At 41.7% G+C, this 13,675-nt stretch overlaps 1 protein-coding gene across 5 annotated transcripts in view, besides 5 other annotated features; it reads right to left on the bottom strand.

Moving 5' to 3' along the window:
- Positions 1-7,117, bottom strand: part of TTBK2 (tau tubulin kinase 2) — a 182,271-nt gene extending 175,154 nt beyond the window's left edge. For 2 of the 5 annotated variants that reach the window (XM_005254173.6, NM_173500.4), the window contains exon 1: positions 6,555-6,895. Coding sequence is in view for 2 of the 5 variants with exons in the window: in XM_005254171.6 (XP_005254228.1) it covers positions 5,876-5,974 (99 nt within the window). In the remaining 3 variants the exon portion in view is untranslated. Of the gene's footprint in view, positions 1-5,875; positions 6,896-6,958 lie in introns of those variants that run through there. The other 3 variants (XM_006720402.5, XM_047432189.1, XM_005254171.6) reach the window with 3 other exon arrangements.
- Positions 6,213-6,713: an enhancer, noted in NCBI's record as "H3K27ac hESC enhancer chr15:43212294-43212794 (GRCh37/hg19 assembly coordinates)". NCBI's record gives its function as "activates a minimal SCP1, AML or CMV promoter by ChIP-STARR-seq in primed H9 embryonic stem cells {active_cell/tissue: H9 hESC(primed)}" and the evidence as "EXISTENCE:reporter gene assay evidence [ECO:0000049][PMID:30033119]".
- Positions 6,213-7,214: a biological region, named in NCBI's record as "H3K27ac hESC enhancers GRCh37_chr15:43212294-43212794 and GRCh37_chr15:43212795-43213295".
- Positions 6,487-6,896: a silencer, noted in NCBI's record as "silent region_6379". NCBI's record gives its function as "represses an Ori minimal core promoter by ATAC-STARR-seq in GM12878 lymphoblastoid cells {active_cell/tissue: GM12878}" and the evidence as "EXISTENCE:reporter gene assay evidence [ECO:0000049][PMID:35858748]".
- Positions 6,714-7,214: an enhancer, noted in NCBI's record as "H3K27ac hESC enhancer chr15:43212795-43213295 (GRCh37/hg19 assembly coordinates)". NCBI's record gives its function as "activates a minimal SCP1, AML or CMV promoter by ChIP-STARR-seq in naive H9 embryonic stem cells {active_cell/tissue: H9 hESC(naive)}" and the evidence as "EXISTENCE:reporter gene assay evidence [ECO:0000049][PMID:30033119]".
- Positions 7,417-7,516: an enhancer, noted in NCBI's record as "active region_9308". NCBI's record gives its function as "activates an Ori minimal core promoter by ATAC-STARR-seq in GM12878 lymphoblastoid cells {active_cell/tissue: GM12878}" and the evidence as "EXISTENCE:reporter gene assay evidence [ECO:0000049][PMID:35858748]".

Genomic DNA, 13,675 nt, shown 5'->3' on the forward strand with positions numbered 1-13,675 from the left:
GCATTATGTCTATGATCTTCCCACTAACACAAAGAAAAATCAATACAGAACCTTTTCTGTATCTTCACTGCAATAACATTTTAAGTATATTAACTTCCTTTTTTTTTTTTTGAGATGGAGTTTTGCTCTGTCACCCAGGCTGGAGTGCAATGGTGCTGTCTCGACTCACTGCAACCTCCACCTCCCGGATTCAAGCGATTCTCCTGCCTCAGCCTCCCAAGTAGCTGGGACTACAGGTGCGTGCCACCATACCCGGCTAATTTTTATATTTTTTAGTAGAGACAGGGTTTCACCATATTGGCCAGGCTAGTCTCAAACTCATGACCTCGTGATCTGCCCGCCTCAGCCTCCCAAAGTGCTAGGATTATAGGCATGAGCCACCACGCCTGGCCTTAACTTCCTTTTTCAAAAACAGCAAAACTGGCCAGCCACAGTATAATATAATATATCCTAATATATTATATCCTAATCACTTGTACATTTAATGAATCACCGATAAGCTGCTGGACCCTAGCTACAGAGACACTATAGCCATCTACTTGGAACACCTCTTTCTTGTAACCATGGCTTGTACTCTGGCTTCTGGTAACACAGTCCTAAGTTCTCATGGTTCAAACAGAGAGTGTAAAACCATAACATAGGAACTCTGTCAGTATTCAAGTAATTGAGGCTTGGGAGAATCCAAAGTAGAAACCCATATTGGAGGGAGAGTGGGGACTCTTTAGGACAAAACTCTTTCAAGTGTTCTTGTGTTCTGAAAGAACTTGTCTAAAGCTGTTTCATGGGTTGTGTGGACATTTAATTTCAAATAGTCTTTTAAATTTAAAAACATTTATTTTGTCATTATTTATTTAATTATTTAACTAATTATAGGGATAATATATCCACTAGCCTCTGACTCTGGTGAAGTATGTAGAATGAACTGTGGCTGATGAAACAGAAACTTCTTCCCTGAACCCACCTCTTGACTGTTAGGTCTGTTAAATGCTCATGTCTGCATCTTCCCTTCATAATACCTGGAACACTTGTAATTCCTTCTCCTGCAAATCTCTGCTTCCACTATTTGTAAGCTCCAAAAGTGAGTAGATTATTTGTCTTGTTGGCTGTTAAATCTCCAACCCCTAGCACAGTAACATGGTAGATGCTTAGCAAGTATTTAATCAAGGAATGAGGCTACTGTTACACAGTAATCCCCCTTATCCATGGTTTCACTTTCTGCAGTTTCAGTTACCCGTGGTCAACCACAGTCCAAAAATATTAAATGGAGAATTCCAGAAATAAACAATTCATACGTTTTAAATTGTATATTGTTTTGAGTATGGTGATGAAATCTCAAGCTGTTCAGCTCTGTTGCACCTAGGACGTGAACCATCCCTTTGTCCAGCATGTATCTGCACCGTCTGTGCTGTTTGTCACTTAGTAGCCATCTTGGTTGTTAGATCACTGTCTCAGTATAGCAGTGCTTGTGTTCAAGTAACTAACTCTTATTTTACTTAATAATGGCCCTAAAACACAAGAGTAGTGATGCTGGCATATTACGATAACTGTTCTATTTTATTAGCTATTGTTATTATTCCCTTACTATGCTTAATTTATAAACTTTATCACAGCCATGTATGTATAGGAAAAGCATAATTATCTATAGGGTAAGGTACTATCTGAGGTTTCAGGCATCCACTGGGGGTCTTGGAATGCATGCCCCTTAGATGGGGATGACTACAGTAGTTTAAAGTTTCACAGAGACCAAAGTAAGGTGGTAGCAATGGAAATAAAATGCAGAGGGCTAGGCATTGTGCCTCATGCCTATAATTCCTGCACTTTGGGAGGCTGAGGTGGGAGGATTGCTTGAATTCAGGAGTTCAAGACCAGCCTGGGCAACATAGTGGGACCCCACCTATACAAAAAATTGTAAAATTAGCCAAGTGTGGTGGCACATGCCCGTAGTCCCAGCTACCCAGGAGGCTAAGGGGGGAGGACTGCCTGATCCCAGGAGGTCAAGGCTGCAGTGAGCTACGATCATGGCACTCCAGCCTGGGCAACAGAGCAAGACCCTGTCTCCAAAAAAAGAAAGAAAGCAGAGGTTTTGTGTGGGTGAGATCCAGGAGAAATAGGGAGCAAAAAGAAAAAAGAAAAAAGAAAAGAGAGAGAGAGAATGTGTGTTTTGATCCTGTATGACTAAATGATAATGCCTTTATTTATAGAATTAAGGAAGTTAAAAAGAGAACTGACTATTATCTTGGATATGTTGAATTTTTTAAGTGCTAGGGAAGTCCAGCAGAAATGAAGTCCTAATCTAGTTTATTATCTACCATATAATTTAGCCTCCAGATGATTTTTCTTAAATCAAATTTCCATGAGAGGCAAGGCTCACATTTTTTTCTTTGGTTATTCATTTTTTCCTATTTTCCTCCCCTCATCTTCGCCTTATTGGTCATTGAAAAATGTTTTTTGTTTTTGTTTTTGATACAGAGTTTCACTCTGTCACCCAGGCTGGAGTGCAGTGGCACAATCTTAGCTCACTGCAACCACCGCCTCCGGGTTCAAGCAATTCTCCTGCCTCAGCCTCCCAAGTAGCTGAGATTACAGGTGCATGCCACCACATCCTGCTAATTTTTCTATTTTTAGTTGGGATGCGGTTTCGCCACGTTGGCCAGACTTGTCTCCAACTCCTGACCTCAAGTGATTCAATTACCTACCTTGGCCTCCCAAAGTGCTAGGATTACACGTGTGAGCCACCACACCCGGCTGAAAAATGGTGATAAAACTTTTAGATATTTTTGAAACTGAAGCACTTGGAGGATCAAGAAATTTAAAAAGACTTTACAAACTTCATCTATAATATATAACGTGGAAAATTCAATGTTGGAAAAATATGAACAAAATATAGTCTTTCAATGATCATATGGCTAGAACAAGATGATGGAAACTGCAACTCCATTTTTTTAAAGGCAACTACTTTGAAACTGCAGAAAGAAAAAGACAAATATAAAAATATTAATTATAAAACCATTTTGGTAAAAACATATATAATGGCAAATATGTTTTCTAATTCAAACATTTTAAAATGCTGATTCTTGTTTTCAATAAAGATGTTAATTCTCTGTTTAAAAAAATAATGATTCTGAAAACATGGTTAAATCTCGATAGCTTACCAAAGGAAGCTAAGAAGCTACTTAGTAACTTCCACTCTTTAGGAGGCACTATTACATCCCAGATTCTTTTCAAAGGACACTTAAGTTTTTCACATTGGGAAGCTTTACCCTAACTGAAGTGAAAGCAAATTCCTATATACAATAAAAAACAGCTATAAACACTCCAAAACACCAAGGATTATAGAGACAAAGGTTAAAAAAAAAATCACAGGAAAAAAAATCCAAAATGTTCACAAAAGTTTGTAAGTACTATATGTTCACTTAAGCATCAAGAATAAAGTCACATGACATTAATGAAAATATACTAAGAAGGCTATTTAAAAATAACCAACTGAAAAGAAGAAACTATCTAGCAAAATTGACATTCATATTATGTTATAATATAATTTCAATCTGTATTATAAACCTATAATCAAGGATCACCAGACTTTAATGAGGCAGTTTTGAGTAGTAATATGTGTTGTCCTTATGCTCAAAATTTAGTTCTAAAAAACTGAATTTTTTCATATGACCTTAAAGGCTCTTTCACCAAATATGTACGATATTTAACTTGAAAGCTTTCAGTACTTTCGGCATAAAAGGTTCTATCCACTGAAGCCTGGGGAAAAAACTTCCACTACCACACATTGTTTACAATATGCTGGATGACAAAAAAAAAAAAGACTAGGAAATAAAACTAAATAAAATGTATTTAATTTCAAAAATCCATAAATATTGAAGGTATATTGCAATATTACTAATCAAACAGAAATAGCTCCAGCTACATTTTGAGTGTCTCTCAAAAACCTCAATAAGAACAAAAAATGAATACATGACTAGAGTAATTTTGAGTAGCATACCCTCAAATTGAAAACACTGTTTGCTATATATTTGTAAAAGAATATTTCCTATAGGATTTTTTTTTAAGTGTGGAAAGAAGTAAGCTATAGCTATATTTTCCATAATTCTCAAAGACTTTTTATTTTACTGATCAACACAGTCCTTACTAGATCAATAATGATCCTAAACACTTTCCCTTGTCATAGATTTGTATTTATTTATTTATTTATTTATTTCAAGAGATGGGGTCTTGCTCTGTCACCCAGCCTGGAGTGCAGTGGAGCGATCACAGATCACAGCAGCCTCAACCTCCGATCCACCCCCTCAGTCTCCCTAGTAGCTGGAACCACAGGTGTGAGCCACCATGCCCGGCTAAATTTTTGTTTGTTTTTTGTAGAGACAGGATCTCCCTGTGTTACTTAGGCTGGTCTCAAACTCCTGGGCTCAAGCGATCCTCCTGCCTTGGCCTCCCAAAGTGCTGGGATTACAGGCATGAGGTTTTTTTTTTTAAAGCAGCAAACATTTATTATCTCACACAGTTTCTCAGGATTCGAATCTGAAAGTGTCTTAGGTAGGTGGTTCTGGCTCAGAGTCTCTCATGAGTTGCAATCAAGCAGTCATCTGGATATGTTACTTTTTAAAGTTATAAAGCATATAAAAAAGTGGCTGCCCCCCACCAAAGTGAAATTTAAATTCCATGATCACAGCTAACTCGGATCTGTAATATTCATTTACTTTGAAAAACCAATAACTTATCATTGCCACATTTTTAGTGCACTTTTTAGAAGTAAAATACGCTCGAAAATGGTCTAAATTATGCAAACTTCCCTTCTAGTATTACATTTAAAGATACTTGAAGCCCCACATAATTGAGTTCAATTTGCTAAAGCAAATGAGGTCTAACCTCTTGAAGATTTCCTGAAGTATTAAAATAATCAACACTTAAAATCAAAAGAAGATACAACAATCTAAAGTCATATATAATGCAATAGAGAATTTACTAAATTATGTATTAACCATAGTACAAGATAATGAGCAAGATATATTATTCTCAGCCCCCTAACCAATGTACAAATTTGCATCAACTTGATATTATATATTAAATTAATGAAGTTATGGACTTTAATTTCTTCTGTGTCTAAAACTGGAAGAGGGAAGAAAGCATTTCCTAACATTCTATCATAAAAGAAAAATGTTAAGAGAAACTTTCCTTTAAAACCATGCTTCATATGTCCCCTTCGGTGTCTTGATAAAATGTTATCATACAGGAAAACATAAGCTTCTAAATCAAAGATTTCCTTCAATGTTTTCAATTTGCATAGATCACAATATAACACACACATTATTTGAAACATTTTTTGACTTCAGACAAATGCCTCAAGATTAATCATATTAAGCTATATTTGTCATCATTACTGCTTCTTTATTTAAAAAAAAAAAGGAAATAAAGCAAGCAATACATAGCATTCAATTCCCTTGATAAGTTAAAATCATTTCCCCCTTCTATCCCCAAATGAACTTTATTCTATTCCATTTAGCCAAAGGTACACAGCCAACACATCTTTGTGTTATACTGTGGCAAATCAGGGTTTAGATACCAATGCAACTATTATCAATGGCTCAGAACCAAACATTGTTAACAAAACACACTGAGTGGATCCTCCCTCTGCGTGTGTGTCTACATGTGCCCATTCATAACATGACCCTCCTACACACACAGAAACTCAATTTCTACTGAATTACAAAACATCTTCACATTATTAGAAGTGTATAATAAAACTGTCCTCTTTAATGTTCAAAGAAAGAATAATTTCTAAAGCGATGAGAGAGAAGAGTTAATACCAGGATTGCTGCTACCCATCAACTTTAATTCAAAGCAAAGTACAACTCAATGTCATTTTTACCTCTACTGTAGCCTCGACGGATACAAAATTAACTTCGCTGTAGAATAAAGTATCCTGGCATCCCAATGGATTATTTACTTCTCCGATTTGACAGAACATATACGTGAGTCTTTTGTCCCTCCCACAGCATCCCAGGGTGTCAACATCATCTCTGCCACAGCAAATGACGAGCAAATCCCTCAGATCATTACTTCAGCACCCTAAGTACAAGAAAGTCGCGGCCTTCACTGTCGTTACAACACAGCAAACAGATTCAGTAGTCCCATGTTCCTTTCCATGATAGTTGGGGAGGCGGGGTGGGAAATAAGCGCTCAGATTTCCTAGGAATCCTTCGTGTTCGGTGCTGGTACCAGAAGTGGCATGGGTACAAGTGATATGTGGGTCACCCACAGAGAGAGACGCAGAACGAAGCTTCGTGACCCTCCAAGTTCAGTGAAGACACCCAAAGCCTGGGGCAAAACGAGGCGGCAGCCTTCGGGGAAATCGGGCAGAACCAGAACGATCTCCGAGATGGAGAGTGACGGGGTCTGGCACGAGCCCCGGGCTTGCAGCGAACTGAAAGTCCCCGGTACCCCTCCCCTCCTCAGCAGGCTCGGTCACTCGGCGAGGGGTGCGGCCGGAGGAGGGGGTCGAGACTGGGGGAGGGCGGCGCCCTGGGGGGTCGGGGGGTGTGTCCTACCTGGGCCGTGGCGGACGCAGGGGTTTCTGGAGGAGGGCTCTGGTCCAGCTCAGGACCGGGACCGGCGGGGGTTAACCCTCGGCAGGCGGGACCGCCACTGCCTGCCCATCCCCCACCGCCGACTGCGGCGGGACCCGAGCGCGGCTTCCAGGGCCGGCCGGCTGGGTAGTCCCCTGGGGTACCGTCCGCGTTTACTGGCGGCGGCGGCGGCGGCTGCTGCTGCTGTTACTGCTGCTGCCGGCTCCCCCAAGCCGCTGCTCTTGTGCCAGCACCTGCTCCCCCTCCTGCCGCCGCCGCCGCCTCGTCCCCACCGCTCCCATCGCCGCTGCGGCGACTACTGCAGAGCCCGCTGACCCGACCCGACGTTATTCTCCCCCCTCGTAACCCGACACAGCCTAGCCCACCTGCCCTGCCAGCGCGCACGCCCACCTCTCCGCTACAGGTGCTGATTGGAGAGTGCGTTCCGAACTCGCAGCGTCGGTTGGCTAGTCCCATTGCCTATCACGAAGGGGGCGGAGAGTCGGGCAGAAACCGTCTCCGCCCCCCACCGGAGAATTGCCGCTATCTTCAGGTTTGCCTGAGAGGGCGAGTTACCGGGAAAGGAGCATCACAATGGCAGCGCGCATGCGCCTAGGAATTCTGGGCCTCGTAGTTCCAGCCATAGCCGCAACTCCCCGCCTGTCCCGAGGAGAGAAGTAGGGCTTCCGAGACAAGTAGTTTGCGCACATAGGTGTTCTCCTAGCGTGACAGTTAAATTGGTTATAGAGGGATGGTTGGGACCCCATGGTTGGGCTTTTCGGAATAAAATCGGAAATGCTTTGTCACGATACGAAATTACACACTGAGGCAGTCGCGATGAAGGGCCCAAATCGTGAGGCCCTGCAAGCCTTAAGGATCCATCCTCTTCCTCAGCATCAGCGCTGACAGCATCCCGCAAATTGGCGCCGTCCCCAGAACCGCCTAACGTGAAGCTAATCATCTTTGGGGGACTGGGGAAGGGCCTTAGGTGTGACGAGGAAAGGAGATGGGCACTTCCATAAACGAATGTCAACTTGGAGACCGGAGTGTCCTTACGGTTTCACAACCCAAGAACAAGATTTCATTCCCTTTGTGAAACACCACCAGCTAAAGACTCAATGGCCAGCCCCGGTGCACACCAGTATGCGATGCTGAGCAAGTGTATGCGGGAGGTGCTCAAAGACTTTCAAAGAAAAGCGAGGAGGGCGGAGCAAGGACGCTGTGCAGGATGCGTTTCTATTTAGTGTTGTGTCAGTCGCTTTGGCGAAGGAAAACCTTAAGATTAAGCACCTCTCCCATCTTTGCCCACCAGTGTACAGTAGAGAAAACACATGAAAAACGCTAAACAGCTTTCCTAAGGCTATAAACTAATCAGTGGCAAAACCAAAACTCAGGTCTCTCATACGCCCCACATCTAATGTCCTTTCTACTTAAGAATCACAATGATCCCCAGGGTTCTGCCATGAATGGAAAGAATGTAATGAATTATGAACTTCATTTTTACTTTAAATCCTTTTCTTCACTCAAGTGACATTGTCATTAAAGCTGATTAAGAATATAGAAAGGTAAATGACTAATCCTATATTCAATCTTGGAACTGTTCCTATAGAATCTGTTTCTTCTTGCTCAGGAAGTGCCACAGCCTCTTGCCATTCTTTTTAAAAACAGCAGGCATCTCTACTCTCTGTCATGTCCAGATCCTTGGATTGAAAGCAGGACAAAATGTACATTAAAGGCAAGTGATGATGCAGCTCATCTTGTTCTATGCAAACATAAAGATGTTGCCAAATTGTTTTTTATTTCTACTGATTAAAACCACACGTTACTTTTTCTATTACTATGTCTAATAGAGTACTTCATTCATTTCAGAGTATTGACCAATCACATAATTTGAATAAGAAAACATTAGGGTTTCTGTAAATATTTTTCTTTAAAATTAAAGAAGTTTATAGGGGCCAGGCACAGTGGCTAATGCCTGCAATCCCAGCACTTTGAGAGGCTGATGTGGGAGGATCACTTCAGTCCAGGAGTTCAAGACCAAACTGGGCAATGTAAGGAGACATAAGGAGACTCCTTCTGCACACACACACACACACACACAAAATGATCACGGAAGCATGGATTTAAAATTTTTTTTAATTAGCCGGGCATGGTGGCATGCCCCTGTAGTCTCAGCTATTCGGGAGGCTGAGGCAGGAGGATCGGTTGAGCCCAGGAGTTCAAGACCAGCCTGGGCAACATAACAAGACCTTGTCTCTACACACAAAAAATTTTTAGTTAGCCAGCCCTGTCTCTACTAAAAATACAAAAATTAGCCAGGTGTGGTGGCATGCACCTGTAGTCCCAGCCACTTGGGAGGCTGAGGCAGGAGGATTGCTTGAGCCCTGGATGTCAAGGCTGCAGTGAGCTATTATCGCATCACTGCACTCCAGTCTGGGCAACAGAGATACCCTGTCTTTAAAAAAGAAAAAAAAAAAGTTTCTAGGGAAAAAATGTCCAGATTCATTGAAATTAGGCTTAGCAATAAAAGCCTCCCCTTTTCTCCAGTCTTTTCCATTTTAGAATTATTGAGCTGTCCCCAGAGATACTCTTTCAGTCAGGCTAAATGTCAATGTAATATGTTATTCAAGAGCTGGTACTGGAGTTTAGGAATCCCCTTTGAGTTATAGATATAGATAGATCTCAAGTATATATATAAAACTCAAATATATATGCATGTATCTCTTTTAAGAAATAAACTGAGCATAGTGGCTCACACTTGTAATCCCAGCACTTTGGGAGGCCAAGGCAGGAGGATCTGTTGAGCCCTGGAGTTGGAGACCAGCCCTAGCAACATAGTGAGACTCTGTCTCTACAAAAAATATATATTTTTAATTAGCTGGCCCCTGTAGTCCCAGCTACCCAGGAGGCTGAGGTGGGAGGATTGCTTGAGCCCAGGAGGTCGAGGCTGCAGTGAGCTATGATTGCATCACTGCACTCCAGCCTGGGTGACAACGCAAGACTCTGTCTCTAATACATAAATGTGGTAGCCAGACTTCCAGATGGCCCCCAATGATCCCTACCTCACTTACTCTCATTCTTATTTATTCCTTTCCATACTGAATTGGACTGACCTGTGTAACCAATAGGATTTTCCAGAAATTATGGTGTGGGAATATCAAGGCCAGGTTATAACAGACATTGTAGCTTCTGCCTTATGTGTTCTTGGATCACTTATTTAGGGAGAAGCCAGTTGTCTTCTCCTGAAGATACTCTAGCAGTTCCATGCAGTGTTCCCCTGGCAAGGAACTGAAGCATCACATCAATAATCAGCACCAGTTTGCCGTCTATGTTAGTGAGCCATTCTTAGAAATGAATCCTCCAGCCCCAGTCAAGCCTTCAGATGACTGAAAGCCCAGCTGGCTTCTTAACCACCACCTTGTGAGACACTCCAAGCCAGAACTACCCAGCTAAGCCACTTCTAAAATGTGTTACTATATCACAGAAACTATGTGATATAGTAAATATTTACTATTGCTTTAAGCATTAATTTTTGGGATAATTGGTCATGCAGCAAGAGATAACGAATACAGTAAGACTTGGGAAAATAAGAGAGAGGAATAACTCAAGTCTAAGGATGTGTCCCTGGATAAGTCTAAAGGAATCAGACAGACTCTAGGATCAGTCTTACAGCATATTCAAAGATACAATGTCCAAAGTTCAGACATTAAAAAGTCCCCACACAGGACATAAAGCCCCTTTTAACACAGCTTCTTTTCTCCTAGCATGAAATAAATAACATATTGAAGAATCTCTTTCTTCTTTTCCTTTCCTTCCATTTATGTCCTCTTCTGCCTATCTTTAGGTACCACTTTGTAACCTTCTTCCCATAATCCAAACAGAAAAGGATCTAGATGTGTCATTTACATCACATTGTTATTAGGACAGCACCACAGTGTGAATCAGTGTGCAACTCAAGGAAAAGAGACCTCTGCCCTTTTCTCTTTCTATCTCTCTCTTTAGAAACAAATCTCAGAGTTGCACATGAGAAGTGGGTAAATATATGTTATGTTAATTATATCTCAATAAATCTCTTTTTTAAACTCATTACGCAGTGCTTTGAAACATGAAACTCAATAGTGAACTGGTGCTCAAGCATTTCTGCAAACCAGCAAGCAGCCCTGTTTTTCAGTTTTTCAGCAAATAAGTTTCTATTTGAATGTTACTTAATCCACAAACAAAATCCCCATAAACAAGTTTTTTTGTTTTTTTCTGAGACAGAGGCTTGCTGTGTCACCCAGGCTGGAGTGCAGTGGGCGCAATCTCGGCTCACTGCAAGCTCTGCCTCCCGGGTCCATGCCATTCTCCTGCCTCAGCCTCCCGAGTAGCTGGGACTACAGGCACCCGCCACCATGCCCGGCTAATTTTTTAATATTTTTAGTAGCGATGGGGTTTCACCGTGTTAGCCAGGATGGTCTCAATCTCCTGACCTCATGATCCGCCTGCCTTGGCCTCCCAAAGTGCTGGGATTACAAGCGTAAGCCACCACACCCGGCCCCCATAAACAAGTTTTTATAGAGCCTACTAATGCCATCTACTCTGATAGGCACTGGGAAAGCAAATTTGAATAAATTCAGTCCTGTCCCTCAGGGTTTCACAATGTAATGATTAGCAAACATGCAAATCTTATTAGAATACATTGTAATAACTGCTATAAGAGAGGTATACAGCATATAAAGATACTCAAAGGCCAAATCCTTGGGGTTCTCTGAGAGCTTCATTTCTTTAAGTCAGTATCAGCTGCATTCTGATTTCGACAGAAAGGCATTCACATCAAATATATTCACTACCTCAAGTGTTTGTGTTTTTGAAACTTTGTTCTTTTTTTTTTTTTTTTTTAGTGAAAATTTTACTTTTAAGTAAAAGACTTGATTTTTTTTTTTTTGAGATGGAGTCTCACCCTGTCACCCAGGCTGGAGGGCAGTGGCACGATCTTGGCTCACTGCAACCTCCACCTCCCAGGTTCAAGCAGTTCTCCCGCCTTAGCCTCCCAAGTAGCTGGGATTACAGTCACCTGCCAGCACGCCAGAATAATTTTTGTATTTTTCGTAAAGACGGGGTTTCACCGTGTTGGCCAGGTTGGTCTTGAACTCCTGACCTCAAGTGATCCATCCTCCTCAGCCTCTCAAAGTGCTGGGATTACAGGCGTGAGCCATTGCGCCCAGCCTTGATTTATTTTCTTTTTTTTTTTTAAACAGAGTCTTGCTCTGTCACTCAGGCTGGAGTGCAATGGCACCATCTTGGCTCACTGCAAGCTCCACCTCCCGGGTTCAAGCGATTCTCCTGCCTCAGCCTCCCAAGTAGCTGGGACCACAGGTATGTGCCACCACACCTGGCTAATTTTTGTATTTTTAGTAGAGACAGGGTTTCGCTATGTTGGCCAGGCTGGTCTCGAACTCCTGATCTCGTGATCCGTCTGCCTCAGCCTCCCAAAGTGCTGGGATTACAGGCATGAGCCACTGCACCAGGCCCTGATTTCTAATTAAAGAAATTTCAAGCAAAAAGAATTAGGTAAGAGAAAACGGTGTTGAGCGGGCAAGGCAAAAAACTCTCAATTTGGGAGATATGAGTTTATCGCCTTTTAACCTATTGATATCAATTTGTGTTTAATGATGATGATTAAAATAGACCGTAATATCAGAAAAGATTGACATTGATTAGACCTAGTAAAGTGAGAAAAGAAACTAAAAGAGTTTACATTCACAAAGTAATTCTAATTGTGGTTATTTCTTGATCTGCTTCCTGTTTAGGCCTTTTATGAAACACAGAATAATTATATCATTAACTGTTAACTTTTTGCAGGTTTTATTAGAAGAGTGAATTATAGCTACACATATTTGCTCATATTTTTGTTGCAAGGTCATATATATATATAATTTTTTTTTTTCAGAGATGGAGTTTTGCTCTTGTTGGCCAAGCTGGAGTGCAATGGTGCGATCTCAGCTCACCACAACCTCCGCCTCCCGGGTTCAAGTGATTCTCCGGCCTCAGCCTCCCTAGTAGCTGGGATTACAGGTGGCTGCCAGCACACCCAGCTAATTTTTTTTGTATTTTTAGTAGAGACGGGGTTTCATCATGTTAACCAGGCTGGTCTCGAACTCCTGACCTCAGGTGATCCGCTGGCCTCGGCCTCCCAAAGTGCTGGGATTACAGGTGTGAGCCACTGCGCCCGGCCCCATTAATATATTATTGTTGTATACTCATATTTTTAAAATGAGAAAGTAGTGGGGTGATGTTATGATTGTGCCTGTGACAGTCTGGAAAAAGTTCAGTGACTTTCAGTCTAGTTCAGGAACCTGCCACTCCACTCCAAACACTGGACAGCTTTCTGTGATTTTCAGGCTCTTCTGGCAGGATCATTAACTGGCTAGCAATGCTAATAGCGCACCCTAGCGATAATAGTGTTCCACTGCAAGGTGTATTGAAGCAAAACTGGTCTTATATTTTTGACATTAATCAAAGCCGACTAGCCAGTGGCTAAAGATTTTAATCATTTTTAAAGACCTGATTATGCTCATGAAAAAGATAATCTTTTTTTTTTTGAGACGGAGTCTCACTCTGTCGCCCAGGCTGGAGTGCAGCGGCACGATCTCGGCTCACTGCAACCTCTGCCTCCTGTGTTCAAGTGATTCTCCTGCCTCAGCTTCCCGAGTAACTGGGATTACAGGCATGAACCACCATGCTCAGCTAATTTTTGTATTTTTAGTAGAGACGGGTTTCCACCATCTTGGCCAGGCTGGTCTCGAACTCCTGACCTCAGGTGATTCACCTGCCTCAGCCCCCCAAAGTGCTAGGATTACAGGCATGAGCCACTGCGCCGGGCCAAAGATGATCTTAAAATATTTTTCCGGTGGTGTTATTTGGGAATTGTATGTTCTACCAAATAAAATATATTCATAGATGGCAGATAAAAATTTCCAGAAATGTATTAAGCACCTACATCAAGGCTACCATAGGATATCCTATGGAGGATTAAAAATATATAAGATGTGGTTCCTATATATGCTATTTTGAATTATAGTTTTTGTACATCTTATTTTTATAGAATGTAGAGGGATAATTTC

Source organism: Homo sapiens, chromosome 15 (genome assembly GCF_000001405.40).
Source record: "Homo sapiens chromosome 15, GRCh38.p14 Primary Assembly".
NCBI lineage: Eukaryota > Metazoa > Chordata > Mammalia > Primates > Hominidae > Homo > Homo sapiens.